At 36.3% G+C, this 19,577-nt stretch overlaps 1 long non-coding RNA gene across 1 annotated transcript; it reads right to left on the bottom strand.

Moving 5' to 3' along the window:
- Positions 1–16,615: 16,615 nt before the first annotated feature.
- Positions 16,616–19,215, bottom strand: LOC105375552 (uncharacterized). The gene is made up of 3 exons (XR_928091.2): positions 18,738–19,215; positions 18,495–18,589; positions 16,616–16,669 (listed from the first exon to the last, which is right to left on the bottom strand). It is a non-coding gene; the product is annotated as an uncharacterized LOC105375552 (long non-coding RNA).
- Between the last annotated feature and the right edge of the window lie 362 nt (positions 19,216–19,577).

The following is a 19,577-nucleotide window of genomic DNA, read 5'->3' as shown; positions in this document are numbered from 1 at the left end:
TTACTAATAATCAGGTAAATGCGAATCAAAACCACAATGGAATACCATCTTGCCCCAGTTAGAATGACAACTGTCAAAAAGACAAAAAATAACAAGTGCTAGCAAGGATGCAAAGAAAAGAGAACTCATACACTGTTGGTGGGAATGTAAATTAACATAGCCATTATGGAAAACAGCGTGGCGTTTTCTCAAAAGACTAAAACTAGAACTACCATATGATCCAGCAACCCCACTACTGGGTATTTAACCAAAGGAAAAGAAATCAGTACATCGAAGAGATGTTTTCACTCTCATGTTTATTGCAGCTCTATTCATGATAGCTAAGGTTTGAAATCAACCAAAATATCTATCAACAGATGAATAAATAAAATGTGGCATATATATACAATGGAATATTACTCAGCCATAAAAAATGGAATATTACTCAGCCATAAAAAATGAAATCTTCTCATTTGCAGCAACATTGATAAGCCTGGAGCACATTATGTTAAGTGAAATAAGACAGGCACAGAAAGGTAAATACCACGTTTTCACTCATATGTGGAGGTTAAAAAAAAAATTGAGCTCATAGAAGTAGAGAGTAGAATTGTAGTCATTAGAGAACAGGAATGCTAGCTAGGGAGAGGAGTAGAGTAGGGAGAGGTTTGTTAACAAAGACAAGTTATAGTTAGTTGAAAGTAATAAGTTCTAGTGTTCTGTAGCACTGTGGGGTGTACATGGTTAACAACAGTTTAGTGTATATTTCAAAAGGCTAGAAGAGAGAATTCTGAATGTTCACGACATACAAAGTGATAAATGTTCAAGGTAATGGATATGTGAATTATCCTAATTTGATCACTGATACACAAATCCTATGTATTAAAATATCACTGTGTCCCATAAATACATATAATTGTTATGTGCCAACTTAAAATAAAGGGAAAACATAATAACACTATAAACATTTACTGTGAATGACATGGGAGCAGAAACTTGTTTTTCTCATCTTGGTATTTCAGATATTTAGCGTGGCTCCACGCACGTAGTAGTAGCACAATAAATGTTTGATATAGGCATTAAACAACACAATCTCTCTAGAGATGAAACCAAATTATAAATGTGCAGCATGATATAAAGAAATCACATTACAAAATATGGGTTCCACTGATAACTGTGCAACTAATTAGCTATGTGACCATAACCTTTCCGATTCTGTTTCTGCAGAATGTAGGAACAGAGTTAACTTCTCATGTCCTGTCCTAACCTCTCAGATGTTTTTTTTTACTATGTGGTGTTCTGAAGTTCATTAAAAGACAGTCTTTAGAACTAGAAAGGCTTTTTCCTACAAAGTCAATGTTTTCAGATGAATCAAAATCTCTCAATTCTTCTAAGAAAACCTGGTTTACCTTTTATTTAAAATATTAAAACAATTAAGAAGTGTGTGTGCGGTGAAACCTGTCTCTACTAAAATTTCAAAAAAATTAGCTGGGTATGGTGGCGGGCGCCTGTATTCCCAGCTACTCGGGAGGCCGAGGCAGGAGAATCTCTTGCACCTGGGAGGCGGAGGTTGCAGTGAGCTGAGATCATGCCACTGCACTCCAGCCTGGGCAAGAGAGCAAGACTCTGTCTCTGAAAAAAAAAAAAGTGTGTATATATGAAAAAGGAAGCAATACAAGTCTGAAGTGGAATAAAAGTAAAAAATTATAGAATATAGCTTATCTAATTGAACATAGTTTATCTTGAAAGTGACTCCTTGAGGCAAAGCAATTTTAATTAGTGGAGAATGAGCTGGTAGATGGAGACTATTTTAGGAATTCTGCAAATGTTCTGAGTATTTTCAAGGCCCTTTATATCCCAATGACACTGTTTTGCTTATCATTATTATAGCTAGTATTTCAGAACATATGACTTTTCTTTTTCTTATTATAATGCACATCTCTGTCATAATTCTTATGCTTAACAATTGTGTTGTTATTCTTTGACCTCAATTGAAGAGAGAAAGAGGAAGGTGATTATAGATTTTCAAGAGGCATGAGGCAGGAGTGTAAAGGGGTAAAAAAATGAGATTAAAGACTACAGGGTGAGCATGAGAAAGTGACTGTGATACAAGCAATTAACTAGGCTTTTAGCTATAAAAGGAAAAGCTATGGAATCAGAGAGGTTACGGCAGACAAAGAAAAGAGAAGGTAGGAAGAAGACGTTGAGTCAAATAATTCACCTCCCCAGTTCTCATTAATCTAAGACACTACAGATGGTTTGTGAGAGAACCAGAAAAGTTGTTTCAGGGCAGGTAATTGAAAACAACTTTCACTTTCTTCTTCTTTTAAGTACTTCCACCTGCCTCCTACAAAACTGGGCTTTCTATCTTCTTGTGCTGTTATTTTACTCTGCTTATCACCTCATGGTTAATAGCTCTATCTACTATTTACATTGATGTCATATGTTGTCAGCTTCTGGTATCACGTAGCATTTTTGTTAACACTTGAAAATATTAAGTTTTTGAGTTTTCTCCCTGCAATAGACAGTGTTCACACAATAATGACTATACATCTGCAAGGCCACTGTAAAATCTGAAAAGACAAGCCCTAAATAGTCCACATGGCAATGACTTCTTTGTAGATGAAATAGCTTCTGGTGATACGGAAATAATAACTTTAACTCAAAATATTATGTACTTTGGTAGGAAATTTATTATTATTATTATTATTATACTTTAAGTTTTAGGGTACATGTGCACAATGTGCAGGTTAGTTTCATATGTATACATGTGTCATGCTGGTGTGCTGCACCCATTAACTCGTCATTTAGCATTAGGTATATCTCCTAATGCTATCCCTCCCCCCTCCCCCAACCCCACAACAGTCCCCAGAGTGTGATGATCCCCTTCCTGTGTCCATGTGTTCTCATTGTTCAACTCCCACCTATGAGTGAGAACATGCGGTGTTTGGTTTTTTTGTCCTTGCCATAGTTTACTGAGAATGATGATTTCCAATTTCATCCATGTCCCTACAAAGGACATGAACTCATCCTTTTTTATGGCTGCATAGTATTCCATGGTGTATATGTGCCACATTTTCTTAATCCAGTCTATCGTTGTTGGACATTTGGGTTGGTTCCAAGTCTTTGCTATTGTGAATAGTGCCGCAATAAACATACATGTGCATGTGTCTTTATAGCAGCATGATTTATAGTCCTTTGGGTATATACCCAGTAATGGGATGGCTGGGCCAAATGGTATTTCTAGTTCTAGATCCCTGAGGAATTGCCACACTGACTTCCACAATGGTTGAACTAGTTTACAGTCCCACCAACAGTGTAAAAGTATTGCTATTTCTCCACATCCTCTCCAGCACCTGTTGTTTCCTGACTTTTTAATGATTGCCATTCTAACTGGTGTGAGATGGTATCTCATTGTGGTTTTGATTTGCATTTCTCTGATGGCCAGTGATGGTGAGCATTTTTTCATGTGTTTTTTGGCTGCATAAATGTCTTCTTTTGAGAAGTGTCTATTCATGTCCTTCACCCACTTTTTGATGGGGTTGTTTGTTTTTTTTCTTGTATTGCTTCAAAGAGAATAAAATACCTAGGAATCCAACTTACAAGGGACATGAAGGACCTCTTCAAGGAGAACTACAAACCACTGCTCACTGAAATAAAAGAGGATACAAAGAAATGGAAGAACATTCCATGCTCATGGATAGGAAGAATCAATATCATGAAAATGGCCATATTGCCCAAGGTAATTTATAGATTCAATGCCATCCCCATCAAGGTACCAATGACTTTCTTCACAGAATTGGAAAAAACTACTTCAAAGTTCATATGGAACCAAAAAAGAGCCCGCATTGCCAAGTCAATCCTAAGCCAAAAGAACAAAGCTGGAAGCATCACGCTACCTGACTTCAAACTATACTACAAGGCTACAGTAACCAAAACAGCATGGTACTGGTACCAAAACAGAGATATAGATCAATGGAACAGAACAGAGCACTCAGAAATAACGCTGCATTATCTACAACTATCTGATCTTTGACAAACCTGAGAAAAACAAGCAATGGGGAAAGGATTCCCTATTTAATAAATGGTGCTGGGAAAACTGGCTAGCCATATGTAGAAAGCTGAAACTGGATTCCTTCCTTACACCTTATACAAAAATTAATTCAAGATGGATTCAAGACTTAAACATTAGACCTAAAACCATAAAAACCCTAGAAGAAAACCTAGGCATTACCATTCAGGACATAGGCATGGGCAAGGACTTCATGTCTAAAACACCAAAAGCAATGGTAACAAAAGCCAAAATTGACAAATGGGATCTAATTAAACTAAAGAGCTTCTGCACAGCAAAAGAAACTACCATCAGAGTGAACAGGCCACCTACAAAATGGGAGAAAATTTTTGCAACCTACTCATCTGACAAAAGGCTAATATCCAGAATCTACAATGAACTCAAACAAACTTACAGGAAATTTATCTGAAATGAAAAATATACAAAAATAAAAGCAGTTCTACATGTTCTGGTAAAAAAAAATAATAACACACACAAGAAATCTAATTTTGTCAGCTTAATTCCTCTTTGTTGAGTGGGTCTGATATTCTTCCAAGTGTAGTCCATGGATCACCTGGACTGTAATCGCCTGAGTGCCTGTGAAAGTGCAGATTATGGAAATCTAGCCTCTGCTGCTGAATCAGAATCTTTGGGGATACAACGTGATCTAAATGTCAGCAAGCTTTCTGCATCACATTTATGTCCACTAAGATTTCAGAGTCTCTAGTTTAATGCAGGATCCTGTTGTGTGAGAGCAGGCACCTCACCAGCACTTGGCATACAAGAGTTTACCAACCACAAAGGAAACTGTCCTTCCTCTCTCCCCTCTACCTCCTGCAGTGCTTCCAGGCTTTTCTTGCCAATGACATAGATTAGATGCTTCCAAGTACTCAAAAGCCCAAAGGTTAATGAGGCATCTCATTCATATTTCATGATTGTTGTTTGCCCTTCTCTGCCTTTGGGACACACAATGGAAAAGTTCAATCAATAGAATAACATCAGAAGCACTAGACAATTAGAAGATACCAGAAATAATCCATAGACGCCTACTGTATTTATAGCAAATGGCCTGAATTAATAAATTATCAACAGAGATCATTATTTCACTAGAATCCATCAATGTGTTAAAAAAAAAAAAAGCAAACAAATATACCAAACTCTAGAAACAAAGAGCACCTACCAATTTCTTTTTTTAATTATCCCATTCTCAACATGCCTGTTTTTATAGTGTCCGCCCCATTTCTTGTCATCAAGGCCATCATTCTATTGTCTTTTGTGTTTAAAGATTTTAGAGCTCTTTATTCTCAGGCTAATACGCTCACACATAGGACAATGATGGAAAAGACAGGAGAAATTCAATACATTTGTGTTGAAAACTAATACCTCTGATGCTTACTTTCTAAACTTCACAAATCTTTGCTACATTTTAAAGCTCATTTATTGGGTAAAATTTCTCCTAAAACTTTGTGGGAGGGTGTTCTTTATTAATTATATTGTTCGTATTCCCTCTTCTCCAATGCCCATTAGCTCTCCTATATAGCCCTTTGTTTTATATTTTTAAAATTGATTTATAATAGTAATAGAAACCATTACTGAGTATCTAAAATATTCCAGAAATTTTATATAGGTTATGTTTATTTTATATTTATTTATTTATTTATTTATTTATTTTTTGAGACGGAGTCTTGCTCTGTCGCCCAGGCTGGAGTGCAGTGGCGCAATCTCGGCTCACTGCAAGCTCCGCCTCCTGGGTTTGCGCCATTCTCCTGCCTCAGCCTCCCGAGTAGCTGGGACTACAGGCGCCCACCACCACGCCCGGCTAATTTTTTTGTATTTTTAGTAGAGACGGGGTTTCACCGTGTTAGCCAGGATGGTCTCGATCTCCTGACCTTGTGATCCGCCTGCCTCGGCCTCCCAAAGTGCTGGGATTACAGGCGTGAACCACCGCGCCCGGCCGGTTATGTTTAAATATTACAAGTATTTCCCAAAAATATGTTATTTGCAGCTCAAGTCCTCTAAAGTGTTTAAAAAACACTAGGCTTTGGGGATCATTTAGAGACTGGTTCAAACTATTTCTTGATGTTCAGGTTCCTGAAACATATTCATATATTAAATCATCTGAGATCTATAGTGTGAAAAAAAAAAGCAATACAAGTTTTTATCTCAAGGTTTCTTATGTTAACTTGATCGTGAAACTATTTTTTTTTAGGTTCAAGTGAAATTACTTTGCAAAATGCTGCCTTAGACAAAGTTTTAATATATTTAGTATTATTAGTTTTATTCTTATTACTACTACTCTTAATTTAAAGTACTATGACAGTAAAAAAAAAAATTAATTATTTGTCCAAAGCCACAGAACTAAGGGATGATAGAACTGATATTCAAATTTGTCTCTAAAATCCACTTTCATTCCATTATTTTATTATATTCTTCCTCTTTAATTTCTAAATCATTTCTTCTAAATCATTTTTTAAATTCTATAAAAGAAACTAACATCTACTAGTAGATATTACACACTCAAGGGTCGATCCTTATTTACCTAGAATGCCCATAAAACAGATTAAAATAATATTCATTATTGGGGCATTTATGTAATATAGGCCATTAGCACACAATGTTGTTTTTTGCTATAATCATTTTTTAATGTTAAATTTTAAGGCAAAATTTTAAGTAACAATCCTTGGAATTTTTAAAGAGTTAAAAACACTGAGGCAGAATTTTGCAAGAAAGCAGACTTTAGCAAGTCATTAGTGAAACAAGCTTCATAAAAGAAGGGAAGGAAAGAGGGAGGGAAAATAAATAATTAACTTTGGCATGAGTGAGATGGGGAGAATAGGCTTTGGAGTTCATGAGCTCAAACGACATAGCACATGACTTTCAGGAAACTCTCCTACAGGAGAAATTTGCACAAGGGATAATTTATATATGTGAATATATTTATTGGAGCATTTTATAAAAAAATAGAAACAATTTGTATCCAAAAATAAGGAAATAAAAAATTAAATAAATTACGGTGTGGTTCACTGAAGTAGGTTTATATGAACAGATAGGAAATAATCACAAGAAATACTTTCCCATTAAAAAAGAAGTCAAAGAATAATGTGTGTGGCATGATCTGAAATTGTAAACGAAGAAATGAGAATGCTGAGGGGAAGTAGGCTATGAAGGGATACTTTTGCTTTCATTCCTTTATTTTTTATTGTTTATATTGAATGGCAACAGGCATATAATGCAAGATTACTTTTTTATTTAAAAATAATTCTAAGAAATCAATTAGAAAGTGCATGTAATGCAGGCAATATAGTATAGTGAACTAAGCATCATCTCTATATGCAGACAACATGAATTAAACTATAATTCTGCATCTATTTATTATCTGGTTAACTTTGATATTTTCCTTAATTTATCTGAATCTTTATTTTATCAACATAAAGTAGGGATAATTATCACATCTTTCATTACTCCAAGGCTTAGAGGTGATATATACAGGTGCCCAATATACAATAGGTAATAATAGCAAATCACTTTGAAGAAAAACAGCATTTCATATTTTACTGTGTGTTGTTCTGGTTTTGTTTGTTCCATTTATCTATTCCTAGATGTGAGTCCTTTAAAAGAAAAGAGAGATTTTTCTGACCTGTATTCTTAAATCTGTCTCCTCTGCCATGTTTACTTAACTTCACCTAGTAATACCTTAGAATATTGCAGATTGGGGAAATAAAATAGAATTATGCATATGTTCGAGCTAGAAAATATCTTAAAGATTAACTAGTCCAATTTCCAATTTTACTACAAATAGAAAAATAGTACAGCATAGTAATTAGTTCATTAAATTGATTAAATTTATAGAGTAGCTCAAGGTATATTATCTCATATACAGTATATATGACCCTTATATGGTACTAACTGAGGTCTGTTTGCTTAACTTATACCATTGAGCTTTATTTCCTGGTAAGGGGATGATAATTTTAGAGCATGGAATATTTAAAAGTGTGTAAGTCTGAGAACTATCACTTCCTTAACAAACTCTGAGAAGACAGAACATAGGGTGAAAGAGGGCAGAATATAAGAACATCAAAGCAAGGCACAAACTTCATCTATTTAGCTGTTCTGTAAGTTCACATGCATCATGGTAATAATGCAATACTACTCTTACAGAATAATGCTTTGTGTCTGCCTCAGTATTATGTATGTCAGACTGCTATGCAATCCCCAGTAATAAAAGTAGAGAAGGATAAAGTGGTGAAAAGACATACTCTTCATACTCTCCCTGCATTCTTATTACCCAAACTGACGGAGGGTCATTGGAATGTTATGAAACATTTTCCAGTAGTGGTATTTCAGAGTTACATTAGTATATTTTCAAGTTTTGTATATTTTGCTGCAAATAAAACTGACAACCTAGGTAAAGATCCCCCAAAATTTGGATTTTTCATATTTAAGGGCTAGAGGATTAACTGTCTATGATACAAATAGTTCTTCTCTGGGCAATGAGCACTATAGAAGTAATAGCCTAAAAATGATTTTTTTCTTATTAGGAAACATTTTCAGTCATACAAAATACACAGAAAATAATAACAATGAACTAGGTGTACCTACCTAGCTAAAAGCAAATAAACAAACAAGACATAGCAGATAGAAAATCGTGCACCTCTCTTCTTCCCAGTGGTAGTCACTGAATCTGGCATTATTTATCCCACCCATGTTGTTACACCTCATGGTGTAACAATGTGTATTATTAAACCATATAGTATTGTTTTACAAGTATCCCAACTATGCATACATTCTATTATTCTTTATATAGGCTTACACACTTCTATTTTTTGCTTAAAGTTTTGTTTTTGCAATTTATGCATGTTGCTAAAGGTCTGGTTTACTCTCTTTAATTGCCATTAATGTTCACTTGTAAGAATATGTGACAGTTTACTCATTTTTCCTATTAATGGCCACCTCTATTGGTTTCAGTTTAATTGCAAAGAATAGTAATAAATAGTCATATTTTTAGATAAGAAAAAATAGATATTTAATAGATAGATGATAGACAGACAGACAGATAGGTAGATAGATACCTTCTTCAGATCATGGGAATGAAGTATAAAATTGCTGGTCACAGGGTATATGCATCTTTAGACCTGCTAGATAGCGCCAAATTATTCTTCAAACTCATCGTATCAATTTATACTCCTACCTTCCATATATGAGATTTTCTATTGTTCTAACTTCCTCTCCTATACATAATAAGATCTGCCCTTATAACTTAAAAAAAATCTTTTTTTTTTCTTTCAGCAGTTATGCTGGCAAGATGTGGTTTATTTTTGGAATATTTAGCAAATGACATCAGGTAAATGAGACATTGAAAAATGACATTGGAGGTAACTGGTATAAAATTAAAAATAGTCACAACATCTAAAATAAAAAATCTAAACAAAAATCTAAAAATATCTAAATAAGAAAAATATGAGAAAACGTTAAACATCTACTTTGAGGTCCTTCACATAAGTAGAATTATAAACTCCATTTGCAAATTCAACCAAAGAAATCAAGGTAAAATCACTTAATGCAGGGGTGCCTAACCTCCAGGCCACAGACCACCACCACGTTCCTGGCCAGTTAGGAACCAAGCCACATAGCAGGAAGTGAGCAGTGGGCGAGTGAGCAAAGCTTCATTGGTTCCCCATCACTGGCATTACCACCTGAGTTCCACCTCCTGTTGGATCAGCAGTGGCATTAGATTCTCACAGGAGTGCAAACCCTGCTGTGAATTGCTCATGCAAGCAATCTAGGTTGTGGGCCCCTTATAAGAATCTAATGTCAGATGATCTGTCATTGTATCTCATTACCCACAGATGGGACCATCTAGCTGCAGGTAAATGAACTCAGGTCTCCCACTGATTCTCCATTATGGTGAGTTGTAAAATTATTTCATTATATATTACAATGCAATAATAGTAGAAAGAAAGTGCACAATAAATGTAATGCACTTCAATCATCCAGAAACCATCCCCCATCCACCCACACCCCAACCCCATGAAAAACTGCCTTCCATGAAACCAGTCCCTGGTGCTAAGAAGACTGGGAACGGCTGCCTGAATGCATGTGTGTGCTTTGTACATTGCACCTACTTCCATCATAGTGACATCTCTTATGATATTACATAATATAGACTAATTAAATATGGTAAAAGTAATGTATTCTTGTGCTTACTATTTAGAAGTCAGGCATTAGAACCTAGCATTTTGACATGTTTGGAGTTTTATTCTGGACACTTTTGGTTTACTAACTTTCAATAGCTTTTTTAAGGGGAATAATAAATTTCTCATTTAATTCCTGCTCTTTTGTTCACTGTTCCAAAACTTCTCTCATGGCCTATGATCTACGGAAGGTCAAGGATCCTTATTTCCTTTCACTGGACAGTCAGATATCCATACCTGCGAAGTTTCTATTGAATGTCATATGTCGTTCAAGATATTTTCACTTGGGTTTTTCACAGGCCAATATTGATTTTCTTCTCCAGCACGATGCATCTTTTCATGTAGTAATGCCTTAACCAGAGCAAAAATTCATGAAGAATTTGAATTTTTATTTGTTGAATGCTAAATTTGTAAATACTATCAAAACTTTTATACGTATTTTCTCCTCTAATATCAACTGAACAGAACTAAATGATTTTCCCTCTGAATTATATTTCATATTGCAGGTTTAGAAATTCAAATAGGGAAAGGAGTGTGTTAACCATCACAATAATTTAGAAGGAAAGGAGTGTGTTAACCTTCACAATAATTTAGAGGGAAAGGAGTTGAATAAGCAAAAGCAAGTACCCTCCAAACTCCCAAGTGTCTTCATAGAGTGTCAAGCCTTTAATTAACTTGCCACAGTTCAACCTTTGCAGGTTGATGATGATGGTATGTCAGTCAGTACAAATAGGGGAAATCACATTAACCAAGCTCACAAAACTAACACACAAAATAAGAATACGAGTTTATTGATTTCCATTTTAAAAAATGACTGCAGAGAGGACCTATCACTCAAATCCTTTGGTCAATGTATTTTCCTTGCAGGCATGCCACAGGGGAAGTCAACTTCTAAGGCTGTTTGGTGTACCTGGAAATTTATCATTAAATCAATTATAATAAGTATAGAATGTCCAAAAAGATAAAGGCACATGCTTGACCATCACAAAAATGTCATGTCAGGTTTAAGAAGAGATCATCCACAAAAGAACCCCTAATTTTCTTCTAGTAGGCCTTACAAGATGCTCCATATATCAAAGAAATTAAATTTTTAAAGTCCTTTCCATAAATAAAACTCCAAGCTTAGAAGTTTCACCAAATTGTGCCAAATATTTGAGGAAGAAATAATACCAATTCTACAAACACACTCTTCCAGAAAATCGAAGAGGAAGGACCACTTCCCAACTCATTGTATGGAGCCAGCATTATCCTGACACCCAAACTATACAAAAACATTACAAGAAAACAAAATTTTATCCTTTATAACTAGTATCCCTCATGATATATATGCAAAAGTTCTAAACAAATTTTAACACATTGAATCCCACAATTTATAAATAGTATAGTATATCCTGACCAAATTGAGTTTATCCCAGAAATACAAGTTTGGTTTATGTTCAAAGGTTAACCAATTTGTCAGGTGATAAGTGCTAAATAAACTGTGGTATATTATACAATGGAATATTATTTAGCAATAAAGAAAAATGAAGTACTGATACATACTACATGAATTAAAATTGAAAGTATTATGTTAAGTAAAAGAACTCAGTCACAGAGGACCACATATTGTAAGATTCCATTTATATGAAATGTCTAGAATGGGCAAAGCCATACAGACAGAAAGTAGATTAGTAGTTGCCTAGAGACTCAAGGAAGAGGGAAGTGGGGAGAAATAGGGAGTGACTGCCAATGGGTATAGGGTTTTGGAGTGATAAAAATGATCCATAATTGATTATAGTAATGGTTGAAGTGTACCAAGAACTATTGAATTGTATACTTTAAAACATTTCAACTGTACATTTTCAATGGATGAACTGTATAATTTTTTTTTTTTTTGAGACTGTCTCACTCTTTCTCCAGGCTGGAGTGCAGTGGCGTGATCTCGGCTCACTGCAACCTATGCCTCCCAGGTTCAAGCGATTCTCCTGCCTTAACCTCCCAAGAATCTGGGACTACAGGCATGCACCACCACACCCAGCTAATTTTTGTATTTTCAGTAGACAGGGTTTCACCATGTTGGCCAGGATGGTCTTAATCTCTTGACCTCGTGGTCTGCCTGCCTTGGCCTCCCAAAGTGCTGGGATTACAGGCGTGAGCCACCACGCCCAGCCCAAATTGTATAATTTAAAAATTCTCAGTTACACTGTTAATCATTGTAATTAACCCCAGTAAGAAACTAAAAGGAAAATCATATGATCATATGATCAGGTACACCAAATGATCACATGATCATTTCAACCAATAAAAAAAGAATTTGCCAAAATCCATTCTCAATGAAAACTTCACCGAACTAGGAAGAGAGGGAAATTTTATCACTTAATAAAGGACATCTAGGAAAAACCTAGAGTAAGCATAACACTTTATGTTTTCCCCCTATGATCACATCTGCCTCAATCATATACATCAGTAATAAGAAAGCTATGATTCAAGAGCTACAGGTTGTCTCCTTAGGATCTTGACCCAATTGGATGCAATTTTGTAATTAATTTTTAAAAGAGGCATTGAATTTCTACTTTAAAAATCTATGCTGATATTAACATTTTAGTATTGAATATTTACAACCTGCAAAAGTTTGGTAGTTTGGAATACAAAGTATTGGTGAGAAAGCAGGAGGCACAGAAACTCAAACACTGTTGGTAAGAGTATAAACTGGTACAAACGCTTTAGAAAACAATTAGGAATTATCTTATAAACTGGGTCATTCACATATCCCACGATTCAGCAAGTCTATTTGTAAGAATGTATCCTAGAGCTGTAGTGTCTAATATAGAAGCCACTAGCCACATACACCTATGTAAATTTTAATTAATTAAAATTGAGTAAAATATATGCAGTAGTAATGAGCAGACTTAGTGCCTGGATGTTGGTCTCTAATACCAATTTCCAATAAAAGGAACCAGGTCCTTTGGGGAAATGGCTGATTCTAGGGGCTAGAATAGGAAATACACAAGATAAGCCTGGAGCATCTTGCAGTGCCAGAAAGAAAGGGCTCAAAACACACACATACACACACACTCATCAGTACACACACATACACATGCATACTGATGGGAGTATGTCAAAGAGACACAGGAACCACCTGAAAGAGCTCCCAATGACCAAAGCTAGAACAATTTGGGCAATGAAGTAAGATTATAACCTAAAATATACATGTTCATGAATCCATACAATATAAGTTAATTACTGAATAAGAAAGTAAATGAGAGAGAAAAGACAAAGCTTTTGCAGAAGAATCCCAAATAATTTCCACTCCTTAAACGTAGGCTGCACATAGTGACTTTGTTCTGAAGAGGACAATATGGAAAGATGGGGCAGGGAGAAATGGTAAAGAGTAGCTTCAGAGTGGAAAAACCTGACAAAGACAAACCTACCTCAGCCAGGTCAATGTCAACAGTGATAAGCCATGTTGACAGTATAATACTCTTGATATGATGTGATAAAATGGTACTCTACTCTTCTCTTCCTACCCAAAACCCTTATCTTCAATCTAATCATAAGAAAAACATCAGACAAATCCCAATACTGTGACATTATGCAAAATATATGACAAGTACTCAAAATTTTCAAAGTCATCAAAAACAAGGAGAGTCTGAGAAACTGTCACAGCCAGGAAGTGCCTAAGGAAACATGATGATTAATGTAACGTGGGATCCTGAATGGGATCTTGGAGCAGAAAAACAACATTAGGAAAAAATAAAGAAATATTAATATATTACAAATACAATAGTAATAAAAATATATAATGAAGCTCTAAATGACATGTATTGTCCCTCTTCCCCTCAATCTTTGCATCAAGAGAAATTAATTTCAACACCCCATAGATTGATTTTTTTTATATTAAGTGCATAAAATCCATGCTTTTTAAAGAAAGTTAAATAGAAATTCAGTTCCTAAGTTGTATTAGCCACATTGCAAGTACTCAAAAGCCCCTGTGAGTATTGGCTGCAATACTGGATAGCATAGACATAGAACACGTCCATCACTGCAGAAAGTTTGGTTACACAGTGCTGTTCTGGAGAACACATACATATGTGCCCAGTAACATAAACAAGAATGTTCATAGGAGCATTGTTCCTGTTTTTAAAATTATAAAAAAAATGCCCATCAACAGGGGAATGGATAAACTATGACATACTCATAAGGTAGAATCCTATACAACAGTAAAAGTGAATGGACTACAGGTTTATACATCAACAAGAATGAATCTTTAAAATGTTGAGTGACAGAAGCAAATTTCAAAATTCATATATATACAATGAAATCAGTTCTTAAAATTCAGAAGCTGTGAAACTGAATAATGCATGGCTTAGTGATGCATTTGTACTTGGTAAAATTATAATGAGAAGAAAGAGAATGATGATCACAAAATTCAGCTCAGACCTCCTGTAAAGAAGACATGGGCAGTATCTACTGAAAGAAATACTTGGTAAAAGTCTCTTGCTAAGATTGGGCGGTTGTAATTAGCTGAGTGTGGTGGCTCATGCCTGTAATCCCAGCTACTCGGGAGGCTAAAGCAAGAGAAACGCTTGAACCCAGGAGGCGTAGGTTGCAATGAGCCAAGATCACGCCACTGCACTCCAGCCTGGGCAACAGAGCAAGACCTTGTCTCAAAAAAAAAAAAAAAAGATTGGATGGTTGCTCCGGATAAGTTTATTTTATTATTATTATGTCTCACAATTTACATTTCTATTACATAAGATATTTCAAATACATTATCTCTTTGTCCAAGCTTTATCCAACTTACCATTTTTTCCCCCTGTTAGGGATTTCTCATTCCCATTACCAAGCATTCTTCCACTTCAGCAGTTGAAGCTGAAACTTATTGGCCATCATGAATTTTGCTATTTGTTTTCTGACCCCTTGTCTTGGTTCATTTGTGTTGCTATAAAGAAATACCTGAGGCTGGGTAATTTATAAAGAAAAGATATTTATCTGGCTCACAGTTCTATAGGCTGTACAAGAAACATGGTGTCAGCATCTGCTCAGCTTCTGGTGAGGCCTCAAGCTGCTTCCACTCACATTGAAAGGTGAAGGGGAGCTGCATGTACAGAAATCACATGATGAGAGAGGAGGCAAGAGAGAGAAGGCAAGGGTGCCAGGCTCTTTTAACAAGCAACTCTTGCAGGGAGCAATAGAGTGACACTCACTCACTATGAGGAGAATGGCACCAAGCCATTCATGAGAAATCCACCCCCATGGGCCAGACACCACCCACCAGGCTCCACCTCCACCCCTGGGGATCAAATTTCAACATGAGACTGGAAGGGGCCAAACAAACCATATACAAACCACAGCACCCCTTAAACATTGGCTGTTGTGCTTTCAAATTTGCAGTACTCTATTTTAGTCTGGATTCATAGCCTAATTTGGCACTTCAGAACTCAAAATGAATATTAATATATGCTTCTCAATTCAGAGGATATTATCCTGCAAGTCAAACGAATGAGGCCAATTCAGACAATCTATTGTTTAATCTTGTGTCATACAAATATTGACTCTTCTTATAATAGAGCATCATTACCTAGAAGAATCAACAGCATTTAAAATGCACAAAATACTTCAGTACTCTCTTGGTAGGCTTTATTAATATTCTTCTACAAAATAGTGTTGATACTATTCCATTCATATTTTAAAAATCCTTTTCTTGGTTTACTTAACTAAATCTCTACTCAGTTTTCTAATTTTTTATCAAATACTGATTTCCTTTTATAGCCTGCTAGCGTTTCAAAAATAGTAGCCAGGTGGGAAAGCCTATTTAAAGTTTTTAGTTATTTCCCATGCTGATTTTATGAATTACTGTATTTTTCATACCCATATTTTAAAACAAATTATGTATTTAGCCACAACAGATGGATATTCTGGTTATTTTTAATAATGCATCACTTTTTAAATTATTTAACCTATTTTATTTTTAATTATGTTTAAAAGTGCTCTGCTATTCAGAAATTACATATAAAGAAAAATCAAGTTAATAGAAAAATTAGTCCTTCTCAGTTAGCAAAGCATTTCTAATACATGTAAATTAAAGGAGAGAAAACTCTATAGTCCAAAGGTGTAACTGTAGTTTTTCATTATGATCATTGTTTTGTCTTTTTATGTATACACTGAAGTATATGCTGATTCCTTAGTAAAAAAAATAAAAATGGTAACAATCTATTTCAAAACAGAATGAAATCATTTGGCCAATAAATTATAGTATAATCAATATTCAGTTTTAAACAGATTAGGGTTAGGGACCCTAACACTGGCCTCACTTCCGCTTTCAAAATATAATACCAAATTAAGAAAATAAAAAGGATGAAAACTCACAATATTGTAAACAAGAAGTGAAAGCTTACTAAATCTGTAATAAATCTTCATCGATGACAAGGACAACAGGACTGTGAGCCACCTGTGCTATGACACCACCCACCTGGAAATAAGTAGAAATACTCCTTTTCATCCTTCCTCTTTGTCTATGCCTTAAAAAATAAACCAGAAAATTGCTCCAAACCTCACACATTCCCTTATCCATCCAATACCAGTTCCCTATATCCAGTTAGAAACTCCAAATTTCAATAAACAGCACATGAGGGAATTGGCAATGGCAGGTGGAAAATTGGAAACTGAAATTTCTACCAGGTGGGTCAGGAGTAGACAATGATGGAAACAAGAAGAGCCTTATCAGCAGTGTTTACTGTGGACGGAACTTTCCATTCTCCCATTTGTTTCTATCGTTAAGGAGCTAGGTATAAGGAGCTAGGGTAGAGGAGTTCACACTGGATAACAGTGAATAAACACCTAGTAAGTAGACTGCCAATCCAGCTCCCTCCTGCCTACCCCTCAGCCCCTGCCTTGCCCCACCACCATATGGCACACACTTCTCGGAGAACCATTTTTCTCCCCTCCATGTGGGTAATGATTATTTTGATACCATGTGACTGCACTGCATGGGAAACAGCTGACTGCACCATGGGAGAAAAATAACTAAGCCAATAAACTCCTTTCCTAGGTAATTTAGATTTGAAAAGAAGATTTCAGATCAGTCAGGTTAGCCGCACCACAGAAGACACATTATTTGAGAGCTAATGATGGTCATGGTTCAGACCACACCAGCTGGAATAGCAGGAGAGTTGAATGAATTAGAGAAGACTGGCCAGAAACAAGAAGAGGAGGGTGGGAGACAGGAAGAGAATGGCAGGAAGCAAACACAAGGCAAAGAAGAGACAAAGAAAGTGACCAATGGTTTCTATTGCTCATCAGTTTCCAAGATATACTTTTGCATCTTCATCTTAAACTTGGTTTTTGCTTTTACCGAAGCTTCCTAGGAGAATTTCTGCTACTTAAAGCCAATATAGTTCTAGAAAATATGTGGAGCTCATTATACAGAGAGAATTTCAGTCTGAGCTGAACACATCAACTTGCCAAGCTGCTAAAAATATGCAAAGGAGCTTTAACCTACTGCCAAATGGACAGAGATTAAAGCCAAGGACAATATATATACCCTGGTGGTTGACAACTGCCAGATGTGAATAGAGCTCTTACCATTTAACTATAAGTAAACAAGGCCAGGCACAGTGGCTCACGCCTGTAATCCCAGCACTTTGGGAGGCCGAGGCAGGCGGATCATGAGGTCAAGAGACTGAGACCATCCTGGCTAACACAGTGAAACCCCATCTCTACTAAAAGTACAAAAAAATTAGCCAGGTATGGTGGCACGCGCCTGTAGTCCCAGCTACTTGGGAGGCTGAGGCAGGAGAATCCGGGAACCCAGGAGGCAGAGGTTGCAGTGAGCCAAGATCACACCACTGCACTCCAGCCTGGGGACACAGCGAGACTCCATCCCCCCCAGAAAATAAATATATAAATATAAATATATACGTAAACAGGAATTCAGAATACTGCAGGACAAGGAAAAGAAAACATCTTGTAGAAGGCTTAGACAAAGAGAAGACTTCTAAGTTGTAAAGTAGAAGAATCCTCAGAAAGATATTTTTAAAAAATTGCTGTGAAACTTTGGCAGGAAGTCATATCAACTTCCACAGTTTTAAATTTTTGAAAAAGAGACAATAAGAATTTTAAAGCAGAGAGGTGCATAAGAACTGTAAAGCATTTAAAATATATTTGCAAAATTAAATTAGCATCACAGTTAATAAACAACAAAAATGCAAATGAGATCAGTAACATGAAAAACAAATTTGAGATTCTCTATATTTCCCTCCCCGCAGTTACCACGTTCACAGGTCCTGGTGGCCTACCTGGTGGTGTGACCCAAAATATCATTTCTGAAGGATCTGATCTCCTGGTTTTCACACGGTTCTTTCTTCAGAGTTGCTGCATAGGTCCATGTAGACTTATGTTGAGATAAGAGAGTACCAAGATGTGCTCAGAGATTACTTGCTTTCTATACATTCCTCCTAACCATCAATGTCTGAAAGTTTCGCTACCTCCTTCTGCTGATCAGTGTCAATTATTCTACCAAATGATGAGTCTCTTCTTACCTGTGAGACCCTGAACACAAGATGTCCAAAGTGTTCCAGTTGAATGAAACTCTTGCTATGTCTCCTTGTAAGAGTCCTCTCACTTTAGGCAAGGAACTCTAGCAATGCAATGCCCAGAATTATAGGGATGAGAAGTACAATGTCCTCCAGTATGTCAGAGATGATGGCAAGAGGAACCCTTCTGCTACCCACCTTGGTACCTGGGCCCATATATTCTTCCTATTATTGGCAGAGCATCACATTTAGGTCTCTGTTTAAATGTATAGTGTGCATTCTGAGTATGGTGCTTCTTCATCCTTTCGGATTATTGCCTTCAAGCTGGAGCTTCACCTATGTCTTGAGAAGGCCATTGCTAGAAGGCCTGTTAGAGCAACAGGCCAGTTACTTCTTGATACTGTAAGTATATGATACAACCAGTAAATCCAGCGGTTGTAGGCCCATTCTCACGCCTCCTTTGCTGTAAGTGGATCGCACCTGGGATGATTAGTAGGATTCCACACTTGTGGATCAAACATTCTAAAAGCTCCAGGACGACAGTGCTAGCTGAAGCACTAAGGGCCAGAAAGGCAAATTCTTACCAAGAATACACAAGCGTCTCTTTGGACAAATCTCTATCCCTTCCAAGATGGAGTCTCCTTGCCACCAAATCAGATTCCTCAAAAAATAGTGCCATCTAGAGGGCTCAAAGTTGGTCTTTGTTGGTATCAGGTTAGACATTCAGAGGCACCAGTGTCCAGATAGCCTTTGGCAAATGGGGACTCTGTCGTCAAGCCCATGCACAGTGTTCATCTCTGACACAATGGCCACTCCAGCAATGTGTTTATTGGGCCAGATCCAGGA

The sequence above is a fragment of the Homo sapiens genome, chromosome 7 (assembly GCF_000001405.40).
Source record: "Homo sapiens chromosome 7, GRCh38.p14 Primary Assembly".
Classification (NCBI taxonomy): domain Eukaryota; kingdom Metazoa; phylum Chordata; class Mammalia; order Primates; family Hominidae; genus Homo; species Homo sapiens.
Note: the sequence above shows the minus strand (reverse complement) of the source record. Positions and strands in the feature narration are given on the sequence as shown.